A 27,465-nucleotide genomic window follows, 5' to 3' on the forward strand; every position below is an offset into this window, starting at 1 on the left:
TTTCTGGGCTTTCTGGCTTTTCTTATTTATTATTATTATTTTTTGCCAGATACATTGTTGCTTTAATTATGATGATGTCTTCAATCAGATCAGAGCCAAAATTGGTAGCCTGGGAGCCATTCTGGTTTTTTTTTATTTGTTTGTTTGTTGGCTTGTTTTAGGTTGATGTAGTATTGCTCTTATCCAACATGTGCGGATTTTGTAGTATAACTAGTGGGAAACAATTTACTTTCTATGTTCTCAGGGATCACTTTAATTCAATGTCTCCAAACCTCCAAACATGTTCCAACTATACCTTCAGCTATAGATAGCATCACTATTTTGTGTGGAGGAGGCAGAAGTGGTAGAAGAAAGAGTGGAATCAGTCCATCTTATTCCACAAATCTTCAAAATTTAAAAATATTTGCTGCCTCAAATTTTTTTCAGAAGCAGCAGGAATATAAAGTAGAACAAAATACATGAAAAAACATAAAGAGTTACTTATTATCTTTTACCCTTAACTGAAATACTCTTTCTTCTAGAGAAAATGATGTCAGCTAGATGTTAGAAAGAAAGATGAACACACTAATTTATACTCATGTGCAAATGACTAGGTAACACTTCTAGTCACATTTTGAGAGTTTTCTTCTTTTGAGAGAGGGCATATAGTGATACATATGTATCTTTAGTAGAATTTCAGGCAGTGTAAGTAGCTATTTCACAGAGTAGGAAAACTTAAAGAGTATTGTGGGAAAGGTTTCAGGTTCAGGTTGGTCTTTTGCTCTGGAGTTCAGCTTCTCTCTGTTACTTATATCTTCTTTTCTTTCTGGACATCAATCTAAAAGATTTGCAAGCCTCCAAGGTTTATCACAAAAATTTTCATTCCAGTACTATCAGGACCTGTAGTTGTGGGAGTAAGAGGGAGACCAGGCTGCTAAGGGGAGAGTGAGGGCAATTTTTGGCACATTTGCACACTAGAAGTCTCCTCTACTAGCTTAACCTAACCTTTGATCCATTTCTGTTGTTCACATTTCTCACCTCTTTCCAAATGCCCAATTTTTTTTTTTTTTTTTTTTTTGTGACCATGAGCTCCCTGGCCACTTTGCTATTGGTTGACTATGACAGGTGTGCTCTCTCATCTCAGGGCCTGCCTTAGAATGCTCTTCTCCCAGATTGTCACAGCGACCCTCTGTCAACGTACTCAAATCTCTGTCCAGTGCTACCTCTTCAGAGAGCTTTCTCTGACCTACCAAAAACAGCATCTTCCTCCATTTACTATCCCCTCACCCTGCTTTATTTTTCTTCATTGCACTTATCACTACCTGGCGTATTATGTCTCTGTTGTTTAACTTTCAATCTGTCTGTTAATATCGGAATGCTAGCTGCACTTGGGAGGGATTTTTGTCTGGCTGGTCCAAAGTTAGATTCCTAGTACGAGGCCTGTGCTGGGCACAAAGTGGGCCCTCAACAAATATTTGTTAGATGAATGAATCTCCATCTTATAAATGAGAGTTTGAAGCTTAGAAAGATTAAATGACTTAGTCAAGGCCATAAGTGCCAGAGATGGGATTACAACCCAAGTCACGTGATGCCAAAGCCTATATTCTTAGCCATTGCATGTGTGTGTGTGTGTGTGTGTGTGTTTGTGTGTGTGTATCTCCCAATCTTCTCCATTAAACTCTCAGATTCTCCATCATAAGGACTATTTGTATTATATCTTGTAACCTAAATGCCTAAAATGCTCAATATGTGAAGGGGAGACTATAAATGTCAAAGGAAAAATATATCTTTGGCTAATGGATGAGTGCTTGAACAAAGAGAAGCATGTTTCCGATGAGGACACAGTACAGACAAAGACCTAAGAAACACACTGGGAATTGCAGAGTTCAAATGTCTTCCTAAATGGCTAACTTATCACCAGGGGCAGCCTAGGCAGTGCGAAAAATAAAGTCTACTGAGTAAGTATAATCATTGCACATCCCCTTTTAGCAGCTGGAGTCATTGTCCCACACCTTGCCTCACAGTGCACATACAAGTTTAAATGCCTGAGATTGCTAATTTTCCAAAGACTTCATTATCGTGAGATGAGGCCATGGCAAAAATGTGCTGGTCTTTAAAACAAGGACAGATGACAAATTGATAGCACTATAAAAGGGCCACAGGACTTAGCGCTGGCTCTGAACGTCTACCAGACAGCAGACACAATATATGTTCACTGAGAGTGTTGGATCTCAAAGATACCAATGAATTTAGAGGTGTCTGAGCAACAAAAAGATTTATTTTGTTTCTTAAATTCAGAACTCTGGACTCTCAAGGGAAGACAGTGGTTTGGCAGAAAGCAGTGGTAGAATAACCAATTATTCTATAATATTTTTCAGAGCCAACTTCCTTCTAACATTTTGTTTCCATTGCCACGGTAATCCTGCTTTCCTCAGCATAAGGAAGCAGGGAAGAGGTGAAATAAGAGCCCTCCCTTGGAATTGGATCATGTGAGCCAAAATAGTCAGATCCTTCCAGTGGGCCAGCTGGAGAAGGGTCCACAATTGTCTCCTAGAATCAGGGCTGTATACAATGACATGCACATCTTTATCCATCATGGAAATTGGTCGCTTACAATGCATCCTTTTTGTAGGCTAAAATAACTGGCATCCTTCTCTCCCGACCCATTTACATCCCCTTTTCCCTCATCACTCATCATCCTCTGCCCTTCCCCCAAACACATTGTTGTTGATTTTTATTAGCTCTGAATCAAAGAAAATGTGCTGGAGAATATTGCACCAGGGAAGCAACATTTCAATGCTTAATTACTTGAGGTGCTTCCTAAATTAAACTAGCCGGTTTCCTACCCTCTTTAATATTTTTTCTTTCTGTGTAAAGATGAAGTAAATCTCCTGTCAAAGGATTGGAGAGAAGGAACCAACCGTCTTTCACTCACCCACTTAGAACCTTCTGGAAGCCCTGACTGCCTTGCTGTAAGGTCGGCTGAATGGAAAGAGACAAAGGCTGTTGGCCCTGATAACAGAGGACATGGAGAACACTGACGGGCCAGCACAGAGAGGTGTGTGGAGAAATGGATGCCCTGTAGGGTATGCATACTACGTCTTGGCTCCTTTGAGAGATTGAGTGTTTAGATCTGGAAGAGTGTCTCTCTGGATTAATAATAAATAGATTTGTAGCTTGGACTGATGTAAATAACAAGGTTAACAGAAGGTATTGAGAAAGGACATCTCTCACCAGATCAGCAAAACAATAGACACATGTCCTTGCCCCTGGTAGGGAAATGGGAGTAAAATGTACCCTCATTCGTAACTGGTAGAAATATGAATTGTTACAGCTTTTTTGGAAGGCCATCTGGCCACAGCTATTACACTGAGCCACCTGCTCAGAGAGGCCTTCCCTGACCATCCTATCTAAGGCTCTAAGGCAGCATATTCTGAGAGTCTCTATCATATGTCCTATTTCACTTTTCTTTGTAAAATTTCCCATTATCTGAACTTTTATATATATATAATATATTCTGTGTATCACTTTATTAACATATAATTAGCATACATAAATTGCACATATTTGAAGGGTACAATTGAATATATGTGCACAGTGATGAAACCACCACCACAATCAGGATAATAAAGAAGTCCTTCACCCCGAAAAGTTCTCTCCTGCCCCTGGATAATCCATCCCACTAATTCCCTATAGGCAACCACAGAACTGCTTTCTGTCTCTGTTGATTAGTTTGCATTTTCTAGAATTTTATATAAATGGAATTATACAATATGTTCTTTTTTTAATCTGGCTTCCTTTACTCAGCATGATTGTCTTGAGATTTATTCAAAATACAAGATTTGTTCAAAATATGCTGAGTATAATGTGTTATCAATGCTCCATTGCATTTTGTTGCTGAGTAGCATCTCAATGTATGGATGTAATTTGTTTATCCATTTGCCTGTTGGTGGAGGAGGCGCGGGGGCATTTGGATTGTTTCCAGTTGTTACTGCTTATTCCAAAGAAAGCTGCTTTGAATGTTTGTTTCCAAGTGTTTGTATGGATTCATGCCTTCATTTCTCTGTGGCATATATCTAAGAGTAAATGGCTGCATCATATGGTAGGTTTAATGTGATGCTTAACATTTTAACAGACTATCAAACTGTTTTCCCAAAGAGACATATGATTTTACATTTCCACCAAGGGTGTATGAAAGGTCTCATTACCCCACATCAAAAGAATGTATAAAACAAATATGTACAGTTTAATTTAAAAATTAATTTGGGATGTACCCACCACTCAAACATGAGAAAGAGAACACTTCCTGGAACTTAGGGGCTCCTAGACTCCCTCTCTCTATCATGCCCTTCCCTTCCCACCAGAGATAACCAGTGTCCTGAATTTTGTGTTAGTTGTTCCCTTGATTTTCTTTATCACTTTACTACCTATTAATATATAGCCCCTACACATTAACTTGTTCAATTTTTCCAGTTTTTCATTTTTTGAAATGAAATCCACATGACTTATCTCCTTCACTTAGTATATTTTTGAGATACAACCACATGAATATGCACAGATATCGCTCACTTAATTTAACAGCCATTTATTATTCCATTGTATGAACAAACCTCAATTTTTATATCTGTTGTACTGTTGATGAGCATTTGAGCTGTGTACATTTGCACAAGTAAATGTGTATATATTCAAGAATGTTTGAACATATGTATGTATATACATATATATACATATATTATATATAATATATGTACGTATATATACAGTTGACCCTTGAACAACATGGGTTTGAACTGTGTGGGTCCACTGAGAGAACTTTTGAGTGTGCAAAACTTGTTTATTATTGTGTACATATATTCGAGTTTTTTTCAACCAAATATGGATCAAAAATACAGTATTTGCTGGATGCAAAACCCATGTTTATGAAAAGCCAGATTTTCCTATACGTGGGTTCTGCAGGGCCAACTACAGGACTTGAATATGTGTGCATTTTGGGATATTCTGGTGTCCTGGAACCAATCCCCTGCATATATCAAGAGATGACTCTATGAACGCATATATTATAGAGAAATTGCTGAATCATAGGGTATGCATATGTTCAGTTCTGTAAGGTACTGCCAATTGTTTCCCAAAGTGTTTGTGATAACTCATACTCCTACTAATAGCATGAAAGTTTTTGTTTCATAACAACAATACTTAACATTGTCTGATCTTTAAAGTTTTGTCAAACTGGAAGTTGTGAAATGGTATCTCACTGTAGTTTTAATTTTCACTTCTGTGAATACAAAAGTTTGATAATTTTTTCGTTGTTTATCAGCCTTAGTATTTTTTTGTGAAATTTTTCATAATTTTTCCCATTTTATTGAATTGGCAATCTCTGTATTATTAATTTGTAGGAATTTTGTATACATTCTAAATACTAAATCTTTGTTTATATTAGTTGCAAATATCTTGTCACAATTTGTGGCTTGTCTTCATTGTCTTTATAGTGTTTTTTAGAAAAAAAATTTTCAATTTTCATATATTGTTTTATCAATCTTCTCCTTTATGGATTATACTTTGTATATTTATATTTTTAAATTTTTATTTTTAATTGACAAATAACAATTATATGTACTTATGAGGTACAATGTGATGTTTTGATATGCTTACAATGTGGATTGATTAAATCAGGACAATTAACAAATCCATCGCTACATACTTATCACTTTTTGTGGTGAAAACATTTAAAATCTCTTTTAGCAATTTTGAAATACACAATGCATTATTATTTATCATAGTCACGATTCTGTTTAATAGATCACTAAAGCTTATTCCTCTTGTCTGACTGAAACTGTTGTTCATCACATTTAAGATGTTGAAAAGGAGTAGTAAAAGCAGATATTTTTCGATGTTTCCTGATCTCAAGCATTTTTACCATTAAGTATGTTGTTTACTGTTACTTTTCTTTCACTTATCATGTTAAGGAAATTTCTTTTTATTCTAAGTTTCATAAGAGTTATATTTTTGTTAAATCCGAAAGAATGATATATTTTATCAAATGCTCTTTCTGCGTCTCTTCTGTCGACCATGTGTTTACTCTTATAATTTATGACTATGATAGATTGTACTTACTAACTTTTAAAGGTTCAACCAGCCTTACATTCTTAGGATATACCCAATTTGATCTTGACGTTTCATCTGTCTTTACACATCGCTGAATTCATTTTGTTAATATTTTGTTTAGGATTCTTGCATCTACTTTTTAAGTGAGAATGGCCTGATATCTGCCTTTTTATTCTTATCTGAATATGTTATGATGGATATTCTGGATTCATAGAATGATTTGGAATATGTCCTCTTTTTATTGTTTTTTTTTTACAGCTTTATAGAGGTATAATCTATATAAAGCTAACATCCCCCTTTTTTTGCCAGAAGACAATGAAGAAAACATCTACCTTTTTTTAAGCGTACAGTTTGATGTGTTTTGGAAAAATGTATGCCTTATGCAGCTATCACCATGAGTTTTACAATACTATTATCACTCTGAAAAATTGTGGACAATTACAGTTGGATCTTTTTTAAAAAATCCAGTGTATCAATCTATGTCTTTTGATTAAAGTATTTAGTGCAGTCACATTTAGTGTAATAATTGATATGTTTGGATTTGTTTATGACTTTTTGCTATTTTATATTTGTCTAATCTCTCATTTTTCTTCCATAACTGCTTTATTTCTTACTTTGCACTACATAAATATCTTTTATTGTACTATTTTAACTCCTCTATTAACTTTTAGCTATATTTCTTTGAATTATTTTTGGTGATTATTCTGGGGATTAATATATGTGTCTTTATTTTATTATAGTCTACTTTAAGTAGCCTTATTTTCAATAAGAGATAATATGTTTGCCCCAATATAGCTTCATTACATTCCTCTTCTTTGTAATATTATTGTCATATATGTTTTCCCTTCAGCCTGAAGGACCTCCTTCAACATTTCTCATAGTGCATGTCTGCCAGGATTGATTTCCTCACATTTTGTTTATCTTGAAATTTTCTTATTTTGCTTTCATTTTGAGGAATAACTTTATTGACTATAAAATTCTTAGTTTACAGTATTTTTTCTTTATGCACTTTGAAAATGTTTGTGCAACGTATTTTGACGTCCATTTTGTATGGCAAGAAGCCAGCCATTAATTGCATCATTGTTCCCCTATATGAAATGGTCATTTTTCTTGTTGCTTTGAAGATTTTTCTCATTAGCTTTCAGTAATTTGAATATGATGCATCTAGATATGGTTTTCTTTGTGTCTATACTACTGGGATACATTGAGCATCTTGGACCTGGAAGTTAATGTTTTCACCAAGCTTGGGAAACTTTGTGTTATTATTTCTTCATATACTTTCCTGCTTCTTTCTCTCTGTTCTTCTGGAACTCCATTTAGACATATGATAAAATGGTTCATATTTCCCAGTAGATCTCTCAGTCTCTTCATTTTTCTTCCATCTTTTTTCACTGTGTTCTATGTTCAAGGTCACTGATCCTTTCCTCTGCTATCTCAAATCTGCTATTGAGGCCATTTAGTAAATTTTCTTTATTTTAGTTAGTGTATCTTTCAGTTTTAGAATTTCCATTTGATTCATTTTTATAGTTTTCATGTATCTGTTAGGGTCCCTATGTGTTCACTCATTATTAGTATATTTTCCTTTATTTTAAAGATATAATTTATTTTAATTTGTTGAATATATTTATAGTAGCTACTTTCATATCTTTGTATGCTAAATTCAACATCTGTGCCTGCTTAGAATCAGTTTCTATTGACTTCCTTTTTTCGTGAGTATGAGTAACACTTTCCTATTCTTTGCCTGTCTAGTAATTTTTGGTTAAAACCTGGGTATTGTAGGTAATACACAATAGCAATTCTGGATTTGGGGTCTTGGGGGGGTAATTGTTTTCTTGTTTGTTTGTTTTAATGGGCAATTTAATTTTCTGGACTAAAGCTTCAAAATCTGTCTCCTTTATGGTGTGAAGTTGCTGATGTCTCTGCTCAGATTGGCTTTTAAAAAACACCTGGCCCCTTGGGGCTCTCTCCTGTGCTTGCATAGTTTAGTGGTCAGCCAGCAATTAGTGCTGAGGGTGTGTTCAGACACATCAAGTCAGTAAGACTTCCACCTTCTGACCTCAAGAAAATTCGGACTTTCACTTTCCTCCTCTGCACACTTGTAATGGTGTAGTTTAGCAGTCAGAATGAGGGTGTGTAGAGAGTTTATTATTTCAGCTCTTCCATGACTCTTTTGCCTCCAAAATGTCCCCCTTAAATTTCTAGCAGTTTTCCACTAATCCTGAACCAAACCTGCCACTTCTTGCAAATAAAGCTGCAGGGTTTCCCTGCAGAGCTATAGGGGATAGGGAAACCCCACACGAGAAGGCTCAAATTCACTGTTCTATGGAACAATCTTTTTGTTCTGCCATTCTTAGAACTAAAGTCTTAGATATGCTTTTCCTGATATAGCCTTCATATGCTATTCCCATACTTTTCTGTGGGTCTATAAACAGGAAACATTTTTTTCTACTCGGGAATTGTTGGACAAGCTCTTGGAGGTTTTCTTCATGCTTCATACATAAGTATACATCTGCTGGACATTCACAAAACATAGTTTGTGAGTCCTAGGGACTTAGACTGTGACTCCTCCCAGTACTCTGGCAGGTTCTTGAGGCTTAAGCCACAGCTTCTTCTAGTTATCCTGCACCTCCGAGTAAATTTTGGCAAGAATTCCAAGACATGGCCAATAAGAAGCACCAAGAGAAGTTTGTGTCAGAAAAGAATGAGAAGGCAGCCAATTAGAAGGACCTTTGAGGGATGGTCCAAGCACAAGTTTATGAAGAGCTCAAGACCAGAGTATCTACTTGGTCCTCCAAGAATTGGTCCTGCTCTGGAGGCTTGGATCCTACATTCTTCAGATGGCCTGGGAAGCACAACGTTTTTCCTCTTAGTGGTCCTTGTCTTTTCTTTCTCTTTTATAATTGTCAAAAAGTGTTTGTGTAAGTTTAGAATCATATATTCTTTGAATTTTTGTAGGCCTAATTTTTTTTTTTTTTTTTTTTTTTGAGACAGAGTCTCACTCTTTCGCCCAGGCCGGACTGCAGTGGTGCTATCTCTATCTCGGCTCACTGCAAGCTCTGCCTCCAGGGTTCACGCCTTTCTCCTGCCTCAGCCTCCCAAGTAGCTGGGACTACAGGTGCCCATTGCTGCGCCTGGCTAATTTTTTCTATTTTTAGAAGAGACGGGGTTTCACTGTGTTGGCCAGGATGGTCTCGATCTCCTGACCTCGTGATCCGCCCGCCTCAGCCTCCCAAAGTGCTGGGATTACAGGCATGAGCCACCGTGCCCGGCCAGGCCTAAGTTTTAAAGTCACCCAGGCTTGTGGTTTTCTTTGTGCAAATATTTCTGTCTATGATTTAATGTTATATTTATTTATAGTTAGAGGACATTTCAGGTGTCATATTTTATTGTGTGCATTTTGGATATGTTGTATTTTTCTATGATTTTAAAGTTTCATTTATGTTTTCTAGTGTATTAGTTAAAAATTATTTCTAGTATCTTGTATTTATTTGTTCAATTTCTATATCATCTGTAAATTGTCCCATTTACAGCATAGGCCCATTTACCAAGGCCATTATGAAGACACTAGTGAGACATGCATTGCTGAGACATTCAGTGGTCTCTCCTGTGTAGGCCAGGATGATGGTAGGAAACATAGTCACTGAATTGGCTCCTTAACATCCATCATAATCAACAGAACCCCAAAGTTAGAGAGGCCAATTGTGACACTTAACTCCCAGAAGCCAGGGGGCCACAGTTAATTATATTAACTGGCAAGGTTGGAAAGACAGTCAAGAGGTCTTGATCTGTAGGGAGTTATGGACACGGTGAATAGAATATGGGGTATCTTAGGGCAAGCTACCATAGGGTGGTACTTAACATTAACAACAAGAAGAAGGCAAGGCAGGCCTCCCAAAGTGCTGGGATTATAGGGGTGAGCCACCATGCCCACCCACGTGGATCACGAGGTCAGGAGATTGAGACCATCCTGGCCAACATGGTGAAACCCTGTCTCTACTAAAATACAAAAAAATTAGCCAGGCATGGTGGCACATGCCTGTAGTCCCAGCTACTCAGGAGGCTGAGGCAGGGGAATCGCTTGAACCTGGGAGGCGGAGGTTGCAGTGAGCTGAGATCGCACCACTGCACTCCAGCCTGGTGATAAAGCAAGACTCCATCTAAAAAAAAAAAAAAAAAAAAAAAAGAAGGCAGGAATGGAGGAGCAGAAGCTTGAGTGCAGTTATCCCAATAAAAGTCAAGAACAAGGTTCCCAGAAGGAAATCTCCAGTAAGCACAAAATTAATAATTTCTCTATTCCTTGGTCAAAGGGACCTGCAGTCACTTACTTAGGTGAATGTACACTGGGGAAAGAGGACTACCCAGGCATTTCAAATACAATTAGATACAGGGTTGGAGTAGCTGTTGATACCTAAAAACACCATTTCATCATGGCCCACCCAGTAGAGTAGGGGCTAGCAGGAGCCAGGTAATATATGAAATCCTGACAAAAATATTGCTTACAATGGGTCAACTGAGTTTGTGGACCCACTCAGTCGTCATCTTCCCCAGTTCCTGTGTGCATAATTGGTATCAATATACCTGGCATTGGATCCTCAGCCTATGAGATAAGAGCTGTCATTGTGGGGCCAAATGGAAACTTCTGAAACTGCCTCTCCTGGCCAAAATAGTAAATTTAAAAATACCTATCACATTTCACAAGGAGATGGCAAAGAATAATGCTACCATTGAAGCTTTAAAATATGCAGAGGTGGCAGTCTTTATTATATATCCATTAATTAGTCTGGGCCCTGCAGAAACCAGATTAATCTTGGAAAATGAAAGCAGACTACTGCAAGCTCAAATAAATAGGCACCTTAATTGTAGTTGCTGTACTATACTTGGGTGCCCTTGCTAGAGCAGATTGATAAATAAGGCCTCAGACACATGGTATAAGGCTAATGCTTTTGTGAATGTGTTCTTTTCTTTTCTGATCAGAAAAGAAGTTTAGAAATAGTTCATGTTTATTTGGAACAGACAATGAATATTCATTTATAGTTTTGCCCTAGGGCTGTTAATTTTCCTGCCCTCTGTCGTAATACATTCCAAAGAGATCTAGACTGTCTGAATATCTTGTAAAACATCACATTATCCCATTACATCATGCTGATTGAGACAAATGAGCAACAGGAGGTACTATATTGAAGTCCATTTAAGACTCATGGGCTCCAGACATTGGGAGAAAAACTCTATGATGATTCAAGAACCCGCTACTTTAGTAAAGTTTTTAGGGGTGTGGTGGTCTGAGATGTGCTAAGACATCTCCACCAAAGTAAAAGAAAAATGATTGCATCTTTCATCCCTTACCACTAAGACGGAAGCACAGTGCCTGGCAGACCACTTTTTTAGGTTCTAGAGACAACACATTCTGCACGCAGGAATATTGTCCTGGCCTATGTGCCTGGTGACACAGGAGGCTGCCACCTCTGTATGTCACCCAGTGTAGGAAAGAGCTCTGCAGCAGATCCAGGCTGTGGTGCAAGCAACCCTGCTATCTTAGGCAGTTCATGCTGCTATAACAAATTACCATAGACTGGGTGGTTTAAGCAGCACATATTTAATTCTCGAAGTTCTAGAGGCTGGCAAATCCAAGCTTTAGCACCAGTAGATCTGGTGTCTGATAAGGGCCTCTTCTTAGTTTGCAGATGACTGTTCTTCTCGTTGTATCCTTACATAACAGAGAGAAGAGAGTGAGAGAAAGCTCCAGTTTCTCTTTTTTATAAGGGCACTCATCCCATTTATCAGGACTCTACTACTCTCATGACCTAATTACCTTCCAAAGACCCCATCTCCTAATATTATCACATTGAGGTTTAGGATTTCAACATATGAATTCTAGGTGAGGAGACACAAATATTCAACCCATAACACGTACCCCTCAGGCCATATAACACCTGTTAGAGGCTATGGTGTTGGCGGTATCAGTGGTGGGAAGAGATGCAGTGTGAAATTTCTGGCAAGGCTGTGTGGGTGGATCACAGCACGGGCCTTTGGAGTTCTGGAGCAAGGTCATGCCATGTGTAGCAGAGAATTATGTCTCTGGAAAAATGGCTCTTGGCATGATACTGGGCCCTGGCGGAGATAGAATGCTTGATTATTTGGAACACAATGGCCCTGCACCTGGAACTATCCATTCTGATCTGGGGTCTATCAAAACTGTCAAATCACCAAGTTGGACCAGACCAGGAGTGGTCTGTTGTAAGATGGAAATGTTACAGGATTAAGCCTATGTAGGACCAGAGGGCGCAAACTAACTGCATGAGTAGGTTATCCACACTTCCATGTCGCTCGCTAAGGTCGCACCAGTACCCATCTCCCAGCTCACACCTATGGCTGCAGGGGGCTGTCACATGATCAGCTGAGGCAGGAGGAAAAAGCCTGAACCTGGTGTATAGCTAGGTTGACTTGGTAAGAGGAAGTAAGCTGGAAACAGATGGTGCTGCATTACATCCATATTCAGGGCTGACTTGAAACTCAGTGAAAAGGAATATATTCCCAGGCGTGGAGCTGCAACCTGTGGTCATTCACTTTGAGTGTAAGGAGAAGTAGCCCAATGTAAAATTCATTTATAGATTCCTGGGTAATGTCTGATGACCTGGTTAGACGGTCAGAGATCCAGAAGGAAAAAACTGGAAGATCAGAAACAAGGCTGTGTGGGGTAGAGGCTTGTGGATGGACACATGGGAGTGGGAACAATGTGTGATTTTTCTATCACACTTTAACACCCACCAGAAAGCATTCAACAGAAGAATCATTGAATAATAAAGTAAACAAAATGAGTCAGTTAGTTGACATTAGCCAGCCCTCATCATAGCCACCCCAGAACTGGAATCATGGGCTTGTAAATATAGTTGCTGTGGTGGCAGAGATGGAGGCATCTGTTCAGGGAACCCATTTCACCACAACAAATTTGTGGGAATGGACCCTTGACCATAGAATCCACTGGTTGTATCATATACTACACCATACAGTGTACAGTATTCAGTGCAGGCAGCCTCATAGAACACAGGAATGGCCTACAGACAGCACAGCTGAAAACACAGCATGAGCTCTCACTTGCAAAGGCCAATCTAACTCTTGCTCCTTCTGAAAGTACAAACAGACAGCAGCCACCAATGTTTAGCCTTCAACATTGTGCCGTTCGCAGAGTAGACCAACTAGCCACTAGTGGCAAATTAAACACTTTAGGATCCCTCCATCTTAGAAGGCCTAGTAGCTTTCCTCACAGGGATACCTATTCTGGTTTGGATTTGCCTTACCTGTCTGCATAACTTCAGCCAGTCCCATGATTCAGGGCTTACAGAATGCCTGACATGCAGGTATGAAAATCCATACAATGCAGCTATCCAAGCAACCCCCTTCATAGCAAAGGATTTGTGGGAATGGGTTCTTGATCATGTAATCCATGAGTTGTGTCGTTGTATCACATATTGCACTATACATTGACAATCAGTCTCATAGAACACGGGAAAGATCTGCTGAAAGCAGAACTGAAGCATCAGTTTAGAGCCAACGCTCTGTAACGAAAGGTGCCATTCCTTAAGATGCAGTATATATACTAAATCAGAGACCTCTATGTAGTGCTTGTTCCCAACAGGAAGAATACATGTGTCTGGGAATCAAGGGGTGGAAGCAGGAGTGGCTCTACTTGACATTACACTCGATGATCCATTGATGAACTTCATATTTTTCATTCCCACAACTCTGAACACTGCAAAGTCAGAGGCCCAGGGGGTGTACTTTTGCCAGGATGCAGAGCAAATATCCCATTGACTACAAGCTATGCCTGTTGTTAGGGTCCATTGATCACTTGGTGTCCAAGGTCCAGCAGGAAAAAAAGAGGAATTTCCATCTTGGAAGGGACAGCTGACCCTGATCAGCAGTAAAAGGTTGGGCTGTTCTTACACAATGGGGGCTGAGAAAAATGCATGTGACAGTCAGCTGATGTACTTAGGCAGCTCCTGGTATTCTCTTGTCCAGTTTTCACTGTGAATGGATATATGCAGTGAACCTGGCTTGAGACATCTCAAACCCCTCGATGATGAAGTTTTGGGTCATACCAACCAATAAAGTAGCAAGATTTGCAAAACAGCTGAAGATAATGAAAATTTAGAATGGATAGTGAAGAAGGGAGAAGATATATATCAGTTGCAGCTTCATGACCAACTGCAGCAGCAGGGGCTGTCATTATCCTACTAATATCTCTCTTCTAAGATTTTTCTGAAGGAAAGAAGCCCATAGGAACCCTGAAGGAGTTGCTCCTTGAACATACACGGAAAGGAGATCTATGTGGCACAAAGGGTAGTATGTGACAGCCATGGAGGCAGGCTGTTCAGACTCCTTCAAGAGAGCCAGGTGTGGGAAGCATAGCTGACTGAGAATTTCTAGCTATTGCCCCTTTGTATCTACCATAGTTTTCATGCCTATGCCATGCTTTCCCTGGCTGCTGCCAGCCAATGACTGATATCATGGAGAGTACTACAGGCGGTCTCCATTTTGGCCCAATGCCAGACATATCCAGTAGGCAACATTTGTTCAGGAATACCTACCTCTTCAGCCTGATCTAGGCTTTCTTAGAACTCTGTAGCAATTTGAGACTCAACTTACATAATTATTTCTTTCCTGCCTCCTGTTACAGGTGTCAAACCTACATTGCAGCCTGAAGGATGTCTTCACTTCCTCCTGCTCCTTCGCCTTGTATCCTTCATAGATTTTTCCCGCAATAAAACTTTGCATATCTAATATCATCTTGGTGTCTGCTTTTCAGAGAACCCAAACTGGCATTGTTACATGGTCTTCCATTACATGTGAAGTGATATGATATTAAGTCAAGATATACTAGGTTAAGGATACACATTGTATTTCTCACAGCAACCATAACAATATAAAATAAGGATATATAGCTTAAAAGCCTGTAGGTGAGGTAAAATAAAATGATGTTTTAAAACTAAAATACGTTTTAAAATTCTTTTTTAAATTTTTTTAGAAAACAAAGGAGTCAAGAAAGAAGTGATAAGTAGAAAGAAACAACAAATTGGTCAAATTAAGCCTAACCATATCAATAAAATATAAATGAATTAAACGGTTCAGTTAAAAGTCAGAGATTGTTTGATTGAATAAAAAGAAAGATTCACTTGTATGTTGTTTATGAGAGATATACTTTAAATACAAAGCCACAAAGAGTTGAAAAAGAAGAATGGAAAAACTATACCATACAAACACTAATTATAAGAACTTTGATTTGACTTTGTTAATATCAGACCAAATAAACATGAAGTCCAAAAGCAATACAGGAATAACACTAAAAATCAATACAACTAAATTAAAAACTAAACAAGTCCACAATTATGAGCATAGATTTTAACAGTCCTCTCTCATTAATTGAAAGAATATGCAGATTGAAAATCAGCAGCAATATAGAACTGGGGTCTTAAAACTAAACTCATCTAAAAACTATAGCCAAATCTGGTTACCTTATTTATTTAGGTATTGTTTATAGCTGGTTTTGTATTATAGGAACAGAAATGAATAGTTGCTATTGAGAGTGTGTGGCCTGCAAAGCTGAAAATATTGACTGTCTAGCTCTTTACAGAAAGTTTGCTGACTTCTCACATAATAGAGGTAACTCAGCCAACAAATGTAATCTAATTCATATTTATAAATCACTTCCCCTACAATTACAGAGTTTGTATTCTTTTCACGCATCCATGGAACAATGTGTTTAGCAACATAAAACAAATCTCAATGCATTTCAAGTGATTGTATATATGTTCTCTCATCACAATAATTAAATTAGAAATCGGTAACAAAAAATATATCTATGAAAATCCTCAACTATTTGAAAATTTAGCAACACACTTTGTAAATAACCTAAGGGTCAAAGAGGAAATCATAAGAAAAATTTTAAAATATTTTGAACTGCATGGAAATGAGAGAACAACATGTCAAAATTAGTGGGATGCAACTATAGAAATCCTCAGGGAAAAAGTTGTAGCATTAAATGCTTACAATAGAAAACAAGTGAGATATAAAATCAATGATCTAAACTTTCACCAAAAAAGCTAGGAAAAGAGCAAATTATACCAAAATACATAGAATATAAAAATATAAATATAACAGTTCAAGTCAATAAAACAATAAGCATACAAACAATTGGCAAAATCCACAAAGCCAAGAGTTGTTTCATTGAAAAAGATTAACAAAATTGATGAGCTTAGAGCAAGATGGATCAAGAAAAAAAAGAGAGAATAATTCAACAATATTAAGAATGAGAGAGGACATTACTACAGCTCCTATAGGCATTGAAAAAATAATAAGAAAATTTTATGAACAAATTTTAATGCCAAAAATTTGGTAATTTAAATGAAATAGACAAATTTATTGAAAGATAAAACTAACACAAGAAAAAATATAAAATCTGAATAGCTATACATATCTGTTACAGAATTTAAATTCATAATTTAAAAAATACACACACACACACACAAACACACACACATACAGAAACCAGACTGCATGGCTTCACTAGTGAGCTCTATTCAACCTTTATGCAAGAAATAGTATCAATCTTATATATACTGTCAGAATGGAGAGGAGAAGGAGATGTTTCCCAACTAATTGTATAAGGTCAGCATAAGTATGATACTAAAAGCTGGCAATGACACTAAAGAAAAGAAAATTACAGACTAATATTCCTCATAAACCTAGATGCAAAAATTCTTACCAATATTGCAATTAGAATCAAGCAATTGAGGATAATATATAAAGACCAAGTGGGGCATTGTTCCAGGAAGTCAAAGTTGGTTTAATATTAGTAAAATCAATAAAAGTAAGTTTGTATATTAACAGAATCAAGGAGAAAACATACGATTGGCTCAATAGATGCAGAAAAAGCATTTGACCACAGTCCAACATTAATTCATGATGAAAATAAAAGCTCTTAACAAATTAGGCATAAAAGGAAACTTCCTCAATCTGATAAAGGCAATCTACAAAATAACAACAGCTAACATGATATATTAAAACTAAAATATTGAATGTTTCCCCTCTAAGATTAGTAACAAGTCAAGATTATCTGTTCAAATATACCACTTACATTCAACATTGTATTGGAGATCTTAGCCAGGGAAAAAAGCAACCATTAAAAAACTAAGAGACAAAAGAATTGGAAAGAAGAAGTAGAACTGTCAGAGGTTGCAGACATAAATAATCTGATTTCAAAGGAATCTACCAAAACTATTCAAACTAATAAGTGAATTTAACAAGGTCACAGGATACAAAGCCAATATATAAAAATAGATTGTATTTCTATATATTAGGAATAAAAACTAGAGCATTAAATATAAAAGTTTATATTTATAACAGCATTATAAAGCATAAAATGCTGAGGAATAAATTTATTAGAAGATGTGCAAGACCTCTGTACTGAAAACTATCAGCTATAAAACATCACTGAAACATATGAAGAAGACATAAAGAATTGGAGAGATGCATCATATTCATGGATGAGAATACTTAATATTGTTCAACTATCATTTCTCCCCAATTTAATCTAGAGATTTGATGTAGTATTAAAATCCCAGTAGGTTTTTTTGTAGAAATTATCAAGTTGACACTAAAATTTAGGTCGTAATAAAAAGTAAATAGAATAGTAAAAACAATCATTAAAAAATTACAAAGTTGGAGCATCTACACACACTACTTTCATGAGTAAATACAAAGCTATAGTAATTAAGACGGTATTGACAAAAGGGCAGGCAGATAGTTCAATGGAACAGAATAAAGTCCAGACATACATCTATACATATGTGGTCAGTTGATCTTCTCTAAAGACATCATGGTGATTCCGTAAGGAAAGAGAAGCCTTTTCTACAAATGATGCTGGAACAATTGGGTAACTGTATAGCAAAAATGTACCTCAACTGCTACCTCAGACCATGCACAAAAATTAATTTTGAGTTGGATTGTAGATTTAAATGTAAAGGCTAATCTTATATGGCCTCTTCAGAAAAACATAGGAGAATATCTTTGTGAGCTTGGGATAAGCGAAGATTTTTTAAACAGGACACAACAAGCACTAACCATTTAAAAAAAGAATTTATAAACTGGACTTCATCAACATCAAAAACTTGTGCTCTGACTTTCTTCCAATTCTGAGGCTTACTTATTTATTTTCTGTTGAAGTATTTGCAACGAGAATATTAAAGAAGTCTCTAATATAAATAATAAACAACCAAACAACCCAACACAAAAATTGGCCAGAGTTGAACAGACGCTTCACAGAAGAAGATATCCAAATTATCTGCATGCCATAACGATATGTTTGATATTACTGGTTATCAGAGAAATATCAATTAAAACCACAGTGAGATTCTGCTTCACATCCACTAGAATGAAATTAAAAAGGTTAACAACACCAAATATTAGTTAGAATATATATTGCTGGTACGATCCCTTTATAAAATTGTTTGGCTCTTTTTCATCATGTTAAATAGGCACCTATCCTACAACCCAGCAATTCTCTTCCTAGATACCCAGAGAAACAAACACATATGAATCCGTATGCAAAAGCACTTGTACTTGTACAAGAATATTCATAACTGCTTTAATCATGATCAGCGAAATCTGGAAACAACTGTCTATTAACATGAGACTAGATAAACAAGTTGGGATACATTTATTCATAAATTTAATCTGCTTAGCATTAAAAAGAAATGAATCACTGAAACCTGCAACAAAATGGATGAATCTGAACTATATTAAGTTGAACAAAAGAAGTCATATGTGAAAGGTACTTACTGTAAGATTTCATCTATATGAAGTCCAAGATAACCTAAGGTGATAAAAGTCCACATGGCAGTTGCCTCTAGGATGGAGCGAGAAGATTGCTTGGGAAGGGATACTAGAAAATATTTTGAGGTGATGGAAATGTTCTATATCTTGATTTGGGTTTGGATTAGATGGGTATATACATTTGCCAAAACTCATCACCTGCTGAAGTTTTGTCCATTTCATTACATGTAAAATATAGCTTAATTTTTTTAAAAAGAAAACAAGAAAATATTGAGGGCTTGCTGTATGTCAGGCATTGTTCCAGGCGCTGGGAATGTAGCCTTACACAAACAAAAATATCCCTGCCCTTGGGAAGGTTAATTCTAGATTATAAATCAGATGTAGAAATTAAATTCCAATATGCTAAATTGAATCTCTACCATCACAGGTTCCCCCGATGGTCAAAAGTGGCTCAGGATGTCCTACCTCCTTCCCACTCCCCATTAGCCATCTTGCCATCCTGGTGGAAGGTGCTCTCAGGATGTGAAGACAGGCCAGCCCACCGTGTTTGGAAGTGGTGTTTTGGCATTTGGGATTCCCCATAGGCCAAGACATGCTAACTGAACTGAAAATGAACCCTGAAAGAAAACTCCTCTGGGCCATATTTCATTTCTATGTAAAACAGGATTCATTCCATGACATGACAGGAATGGGATTCAGTGGGACTGGCTTGGTTTGGGCAGGTGCTTCAGGGGAGGCAGCGGCAAGGCATCCTCAGAACCTAGGATTTTGTCAATCTGCAGAGGCTGGTTTTCACACTGACCTATTAAGGGTGGGCTTTACAAAGCACATTTGGCAGATTTCAAGAGGGTAGAGGAAGAAATAGATCTCTTGCTGAGACAGAAGTTTAAATCCAAACAGCCTCCCGGGCAGCTCCAGGCATCCTGGGAGCTGTCAGCCTTTTGTGGAGTGGCCAGGCCCCCTTGTTTTCTCTAGAGTAGCTAGGTCCAAACTTGATATTAGATCTGAGAAGGGAAGAGGTTGTTGTGGAGACATCTCTTTCTCTGCCCTAGTCTGCCTCAGAAAGCTACTCACTCATATACTATGGGCAGGTTCCAAGGTGCAGACAGTATGAATGTGCTGGGCTGCAGGGCACTGAGATGGGCAAGAGTGGAGCCTGCTGGTACGAATGAACAAGAGGACTTTCAAGTTCTTTCTGGACCTCTTAGAGTTGATGTTGTGGGATGCCTTCTTTTTCTACTGAGAATTTGACAAATATTTTTATTAGTACTAATATTTATACATATAGTGGTTTGTATTTTATAAAACACGTTTCGTACAATAATCACAGCTAGATTTGTTGTTTGTGTGTGTGTGTGTGTGTGGCTGCCTATCTTAGATGCCCCCAGAAGCAGACCCTGAGATAAGAATTCAAATGCAAGTACTTTACTTGGGAGATGGAGGAAAAAATGGTAGGGGAGTAGGGAAGAGAGACAGAGAGGAAAAGGCAGCCAATTAAAAGTGCATTATGAGGTTTGTTGCCATTAGGGAAAGAAACATGAGACTCTCACCTGAGTTATCCTATTCCAGAGGGAAGGTTACAGGGATATTTCCACACCAGTTACCATCAGACATTGGCTAAGGGCCGTTCCTTGGGGGACATTCATTCCTTGGAGTGTTTGGCCCACCTCTCAGGCAGCAAAGCTGGTCTGGTGGCAAGAAAAAACCCTCAGAGAAGAAATGCTCGTGCCCACAGCTGGTGCTCACTGAAGTGTAAGGCAGGAAGTGGCACCACTATACATCCCTGTGCTCAATACTCTGTGCATTTTGGACTTAATAATCACAACAACTCTGTAACCCTGGGATCAACACCTCCATTTTAAAGAGCGGCAACTGACACTTAGAGAGAGAGGTTCAGTGGCTGCATCAAAGTTGAACTGCTCAGGGAGAGATGGGGCTTCTAACTCCAGAATTCACTCTTACCAACTATGCCATGCTGTTTTGCTTCTTAATTCCTCTAAATACACCAGAAACAAAGGTATTTTCTTATTTTGTTTTATCAATAAGGAAATGGGGGCTCACAGGCATCAACTGCCTTGCCCAAAGTCTTCCAGCTGCCTCTAAGTAGAGGGGTGCCTGCTCTCTGAAGCCCATGCACACCCTGTTGATGCACGGCCTGGTTAGGCCGCTTTACATTCCCTGTTTGCTGCCTCATGACAGACTCTGGCTTTTCTTTTGTTCTAGCCTCTGGAAGGTTGTATTTATAACTTCCTTGAAATGGGCTTCTTGAAAAATCCATTGTCCCACACAGCGATGTTAAGAGCTCATTGCCCAGGCAGTCCCTCTTATCAGCCTCTTCTTAGGGAGAATTTAGTTGATTTACTTGCTTTCAACTTCTAAGCCTTCATTTGTTTCCTTCCTCAATCGAACAAATTAGACCTCTAGTGTTTGAAGACAAGCCTATCAGAGAGGATATTTAACGCAATTAGTAGAAAAATTAAAGTGAAGTCCAAGATCAAGTGTTTAGAATGGTCAGATTTGACCGCAATAAGCCAGCCCTATTATTGGCTTGAATTTACTTCCCTTTGAGCCCAGAGAAAAATACTTCCTTGAGTTTCCAAAACCACCAGGTTTGGTCCTGAGCCACAGCTGCTTAGGGCAGACAGGATAATCTTGTTCTGCATACAGCTCAACCTATGGGGGTAAGAATTCTGACAGGGCCAAAGGAGATCAGGAGATACCGCTGGTATAGAACTTACTCCCAAAAAAAATGGCCCAAGGAAGGCCTCACCCATGGCTTGAACTCTTCCTCAGAGCCAATGGGGAACTAATTCAGCTCTCCAAGTTTCTGTCCCATTGGAGTTTGGCCACTGGTCTGACATCCAGATGTCTGGCTTCTCACTTCTGTGGGCAGATACATCAAACATCCGGTTCCCAATTAAGATAACCCTTTAAGAGAGCTTATTGGGAGGAGGGCCACTGGCAGATAATTTCCAGCAGCTGCAGATTTGGATCTCCAGTGGAGTCCACATTGAGGCATTGTGTGTGTGGCCGTGGCCATGACACAATGTGTGTGTGGCCCAGCCAAGACTGGACACAGCCCAGATACCAGCCCCATGCCATTCCTGTTTGACATAGGGCTCCTGTGATGGCCAGCTTTGCTCTGGGCTCATTTGCCTTGCTGAGCCCTTCTCAGATCTGCCCTGCCGTCTGGGGCTTACCTACCCATCCTCCTTTCTTAGCTGCTTCCTTTGGCTTGCATCATGTTCTAAGGCCATTCCCACCTACTCCTGCCCTTTCTTCCCTTCACAAATGTTTCCCTAGTGAATTTCCAGCACTTCTAGTTCCACCTGATGTTGCTCTTAAAGGACTCAAAATGATAGTAGCTGGTACACAGAATGGGGTTTGGGGGTCCAGCTCACTCACCACACAGCTGGCAAAAGAATGTCATCCTGAGAGAAATATGGGGTGCAGATAGTCCCTGGAATAAAGTGGTGTGGCTCAATTGCTGAGGATGTCATTGGTAGTGACCAGAAAAATATGTCCCAATAGAGGAGAATGCCTTTGCCAGTACAGTGATTCAGGCATTTTAGATATCTAGGGAGAGCAATAGCTACAAGGACAGTTATTACTATATCGTATTGACACCCCGTGGAGGGATAATGAGAAACAGAGGGCAGTTAATGAACAGTTCAGAACTAAGTGTGAGAGCCAGAGGCCTCTTATCTACTGCAGTAGGAGGATGATCAAAGTTGAAGAGAGGATACAGGATTCAGTTTTCCAGAACTCCAGAGATGTTTAACTGCTCAGTTAAGACAGGACTATTATGCTAAACTCAGAGGCCTGGTTGGGAAAAGCTGGGACCCTGGAACCTAGGATAGGAACCTCATGGTGGATGCCCTCAAGAATTTTAGTCATGTAGACTCCCCTGTACCTTCGGAACTTGCTAAGGCAATCCACCCATCTCTATTAAGAGCTGGTACTTCCCCTAGTGGGAAGATGCTGAAGAAGCCCTTCCCTCTGAGGCAACAAGTGCCCCTCAATAGCTGCCCACACCTCCTCTCTTGGCTAACAGGCTGATAACTAGAGTTAAATCCCAGCATAGTGTGACTGAGACATGATGGGCTTGATAAATCAGGGAAGAGATTATACCCAGAAAGAGCTGAAAAATTAGGTAGTATGTATCAGCACAGGAAAGGGAATACCCTTGGAATTGGATTTCCAGGGTGCTTGATCCAGGGGGAGCAGAACGTAAAACTGCATTAACAGGAATTCATGGACTTGGTGCACTTTCTTAGGACACAGGCAAGAACCCCCCAGTATGGGGCCAATGCCTGGCTAAGGTGGCTCTTAGCAACCTAAAGAAAGCAATGGCTAACATCGAGCAAAGTTGACTTTCCTGAGTTGCCCCAGCAGAGGCTGGTGGAGGAAGGAATAAAAAGACTTGAGGAGGAAAGAATGTTGGAATCAATATTTTATGTGAGGTCAGAAACCCACTTGAAGACTGTATTGCATAGGAAAGCCCAGAAGACACAGCATTCACTAGGGCCATCAGGAACATGCTGGTGAAGCCCATGGTGGCAGGGAGAGCTGGGCTCATGGATAGGAATGGGAGCAATGGAGCCCTGAAGTCATAGAGGCCAGGTGGCAGCATTAACCACTGGATGCCAGGGGCTGCCATTACTACAATGACCGGCAATGTCAGGGGCAGCCAAATGTGTTTGAACACAGGAAATTGTGGAGATGGTCAATGTAATATGGCCAAATAGGTGGGAAGCCAAGAGTGCTGCTTAATGCCATTAGAAGAAGGTAAGAATAGAGGAGAAGGAGGCTGAGGTAGGTTGCCTCAATACAAGGTCATGATCACTTGCTCAGTTACTAGCCCTCAGCCAATTTTCTGATCTGAAACCCATTGACTAAAGAGATGGTTGGGTCCCTAGGAGGAAGGACCCTGCTATACCATAGCATGTAGACACTGTAATGATTCCCTCAGTCCTTCCTCAAAGGGACCAATGGCCATTTACTTGTGTGACTGTATACTGGGAAAGTGGAATGGCTAGACATTTCAAAGAAGTATTGGACACAGAGTCTGAGTTGACATTGAAACCCAGAGACCCAGAATGTTTCTATAGATCCCTAATGAATGGAGATCTGGCAAGTCTGGCTTACTATGGATTCACAGGGACCCATATTTTGTATTTGGAATAACTCTCACATTGAACCCCTGGCCTGCGGGTAGGAGCTAGCACAGTGGGGAAGGCCAAGTAGAAGCCTCCAAAGCCTTCTGTTTTTGGCCTCCTGGAGAAAATAGTAAATAAAAACAATATTGCATTTAAATTTTTCTTTTTGGTAGGTCAGAGTGGGGGAGGTATGAATGATGGAGATTGGTGCCACCATTTAAAACCTAAAGCATGCAGGGCTGAATAGTAGTTCTAATCATATCTCCATTTAATTAATCAGTCTAGCCCCCGCAGATACATGATGGATCATGAAGAATGGCTATAGACTACCATAAAATTAATTAAGCAATAGCCTGGATTATAGTTCTGTGTTGAACATAGTATCTTTGCTACAGTAATTTCATAAATTCTCATATACATGGTATGTGGCTGTTGATTTGGCATTCCTTTTTATTCCAATCAGAAAGAAGGAGCAGAGACGGTCTGCATTTACATGGAACATACAATGACATTTAGTTTTGCCCCACAGCTATGCTAACTGTCCCACTCACTGTCATAACACAGTCTGAATAGGTCTGAGCTATCCAGGAATCAAGGATTGCAAGCAAGAGTAGGCCCACTTGCCATCATGTCCAGTGACCCATCTGGGGACTTTGTGCTTTACACCCCCACAATACTGGGCTTTGTAGGATTAGAGGTTCTAGTCTCTAGAGAGGGTACATTCCTGTGGAGATATAGCACATGTCCTGTTGAACTACAAGTTATGGTTGCCTCCTGGGTACTTAGGACTGCTGGTGCCCAAAGACCAGAAGGTGAGAGGTAAAGTCATCATTTTGGTAGGGAAAATTGTCCGTGGCCAGCAGGGGAGGTGAGGTTACTTTTACACAATGGGAACAGGGAGGAATATATGTGAAACTCAGTGGAGCCAACTGGGCACATTTTAGGATTATTTATCTGGTTGTACTGAGGGCTCAGATTACTTAGGAATGAGAGTTTGGGGTCATACCACAGGGCAAGCTCTCAAGGCCTGGTGAGGTGACACTGAGGATGAGGGGAATTTAGCATGGACAGTGGAGAAGGGAGACAATGACCAATTGCAGAGATGGGACTGAGTTTGCCCAACTAACCTGAGTTTCTCCTCAGGAAGAGAAGCCCGCAGGAATGGAAGGGAAGCTGTTCACTGAACACATGTGGAGAAATGGATGTGTGTGGCACAAGGAGTGGATGTGGTAGCCATTGAGGTGCTCCACTCAAATCTCTCTTCAAGAGAACCTTCAAGGACAGCAATTCATGGGCAGTTTTCAGCTGTGCACCTGTGGATCTAATGCAGCATTCCTATTGAGGCCTTGCTCTCCATTGGTTGTTTCTATCCAGTGGCCAAGCATGATAAAGCTGCTAGAACCAGCCATACCTGCCCAACTTGGAGTCCTCTAACAACAGATCTTTGCTCTGGGGCTTCCTCTTGGCCTGGCTCAGAGTTTATCAGTTTCACTGCACCCTAAATCTCCTCCCACCCAGTTCTCCTTTTTTCCCCTCTTTCCTTGCACAGGTCTCAGCTCTGCATGGGGTCCTAAAAGGTCTCCCTGTCTATTCCTGCTCTGTCCCAGGACCCTTCACAAACATTTCCCTTCTGCTTATTTTATTCTGATGGGCATCTGCTTCCTGGATGACCCAAAGTGGCATAGGAGGTCTCAGAAAATGGTAAATAAAATTCCTCTTTGCTGCCTCCACCCCCACCTGTTGCACACGCAAAAATTAGAAATAAAATTCTTCACTTCAATATGGAGAAGTAACTGGGCTCTGTCTGGGCATTTTCACAAATGCCAGGAAATAAGAATAACTGTCATGGAGAAAATCTTTAGTCCAAAGCTATTTTCAAGTGGCTTCATAATTCCAAGTTCTATTAACTTGTGTGAAATCTCTTATACTTGTCAGGTCAAATTCTTGTTTTCTGCCATGATTTAGAAGTTTTCCTGCAGAGTGGCAGAGGACAGTAATTGAACTTGTGGTCCTGAATTTTGATTGGATGAGGATTGGTCCAAATCAGATCTCTTTCAAGTTTCTCTGGGATCACCAAGGGCAACAGTCCCCTTGACTTCCAGAGAAAATCATGAAAAAGCATTAACATGTACTTTATAGCTAGCCTTGATGGACTGAAGACCCCTTCCTTATCCATCTTTTTGCTTCCAGTTGGACACCTACCAGGTGAAGGAGGGGTCTCTGCTAGGAGGAGTGTTCTTTCTCCCCCATCAAGGGCAAGGGAAATGGATACAAAAAAGCAGGAGTATTTAACCCCTTGCTGACTTCTGGAGATGACCTTTCTTCCATCTGTCACCACCAGCCAGGGCTTCAGTAGAGCCAAAAGAGTATAGCAGTCTTTGGAGAGAAACATTCATTCATCTGTTGATAGGAGTTGTCTGGAGCTTAGGTAAAAATTGCATTTTCCTCACCGTCTCTACCTGTGCCTAGAGAGCTGAGAGGCTGAAGCAATAGCAATAACTTTGACTTGGTCAACTTGTGTGCATCATAGTAATAGCGAATATTTGTAGTTTACAATGCATTTTATATACACTTTTCACACAGTTTCCATCTTGCCTGAATTCCCAGTTAAAGTTATCAGTTGGGTTAAGGCAATCCTATTAAAATGTCTCCTGAGTGGTAGGCATTTAGTGAATGTGTGTTGCATGGAACTGAGTTTATTGTAATTTAGTTGCTTATTTGTCAGTCTTCCCCACTGGTTTGAGTTCCTTGAAGGTAGAGGCTTTGTCTTTTATCTCTGTTATGTACAGCGCCTAGTACAGAGCTACACATAGGGGGAAATCAGTAATTGTCTGTTGACTGAATGAATGAATGAATGAGGGAGCAGAGCCATAATACACAAGCAAGGATGAATATATTGGAGTATCTAGAAAACAACATAGGAAAGATAGATTTGAGACTGTAAGCAATGAGACACAAGACCATCTTATTTAGTGGGAGGTGAGAGTGGTAGCAGAAGTTGACACATGGGAGGGCTTATACTCAGAGAAATAAAAGTCCATGCACTGTGGGTCCTGGGCCATGAAGAGTGGCATGGATGATGGCAGGGGGAAGAATATGGGTTGGTGCAAGTCCTCACCCTAACTTCTGCTCTGCCTCTGCTTCCACCTTGGGTCCAGTCTAGCTGGCATCAGCATCAGCATTGCTGAATGGAAGAGGGAGCCTTCCCTAATTCTCACTCCTGCCCCTGACTCTAGCCAAGCTTAGTTGCATGCAATCTAAGCAACCATAGCTTCCTTCAGCCACTGTTTCCTTTACTCTAAGTCCTTGGCCTGACATTTTATGTGGCATGGGCTCATTCAGTAATCTGTTACTCCTCAAAGATGACAATAGTAACTCATAGTGCTTTTTCCATAAA

General features: G+C 39.4%; 1 long non-coding RNA gene across 1 annotated transcript; it reads left to right on the plus strand.

The window, feature by feature from the left end:
• The first annotated feature begins 2,908 nt into the window (after positions 1 to 2,908).
• On the plus strand, positions 2,909 to 14,859 carry LOC124901000 (uncharacterized). The gene is made up of 2 exons (XR_007058811.1): positions 2,909 to 3,037; positions 14,756 to 14,859. It is a non-coding gene; the product is annotated as an uncharacterized LOC124901000 (long non-coding RNA).
• Positions 14,860 to 27,465: the final 12,606 nt, after the last annotated feature.

Source organism: Homo sapiens, chromosome 5 (genome assembly GCF_000001405.40).
Source record: "Homo sapiens chromosome 5, GRCh38.p14 Primary Assembly".
Lineage (NCBI taxonomy): Eukaryota > Metazoa > Chordata > Mammalia > Primates > Hominidae > Homo > Homo sapiens.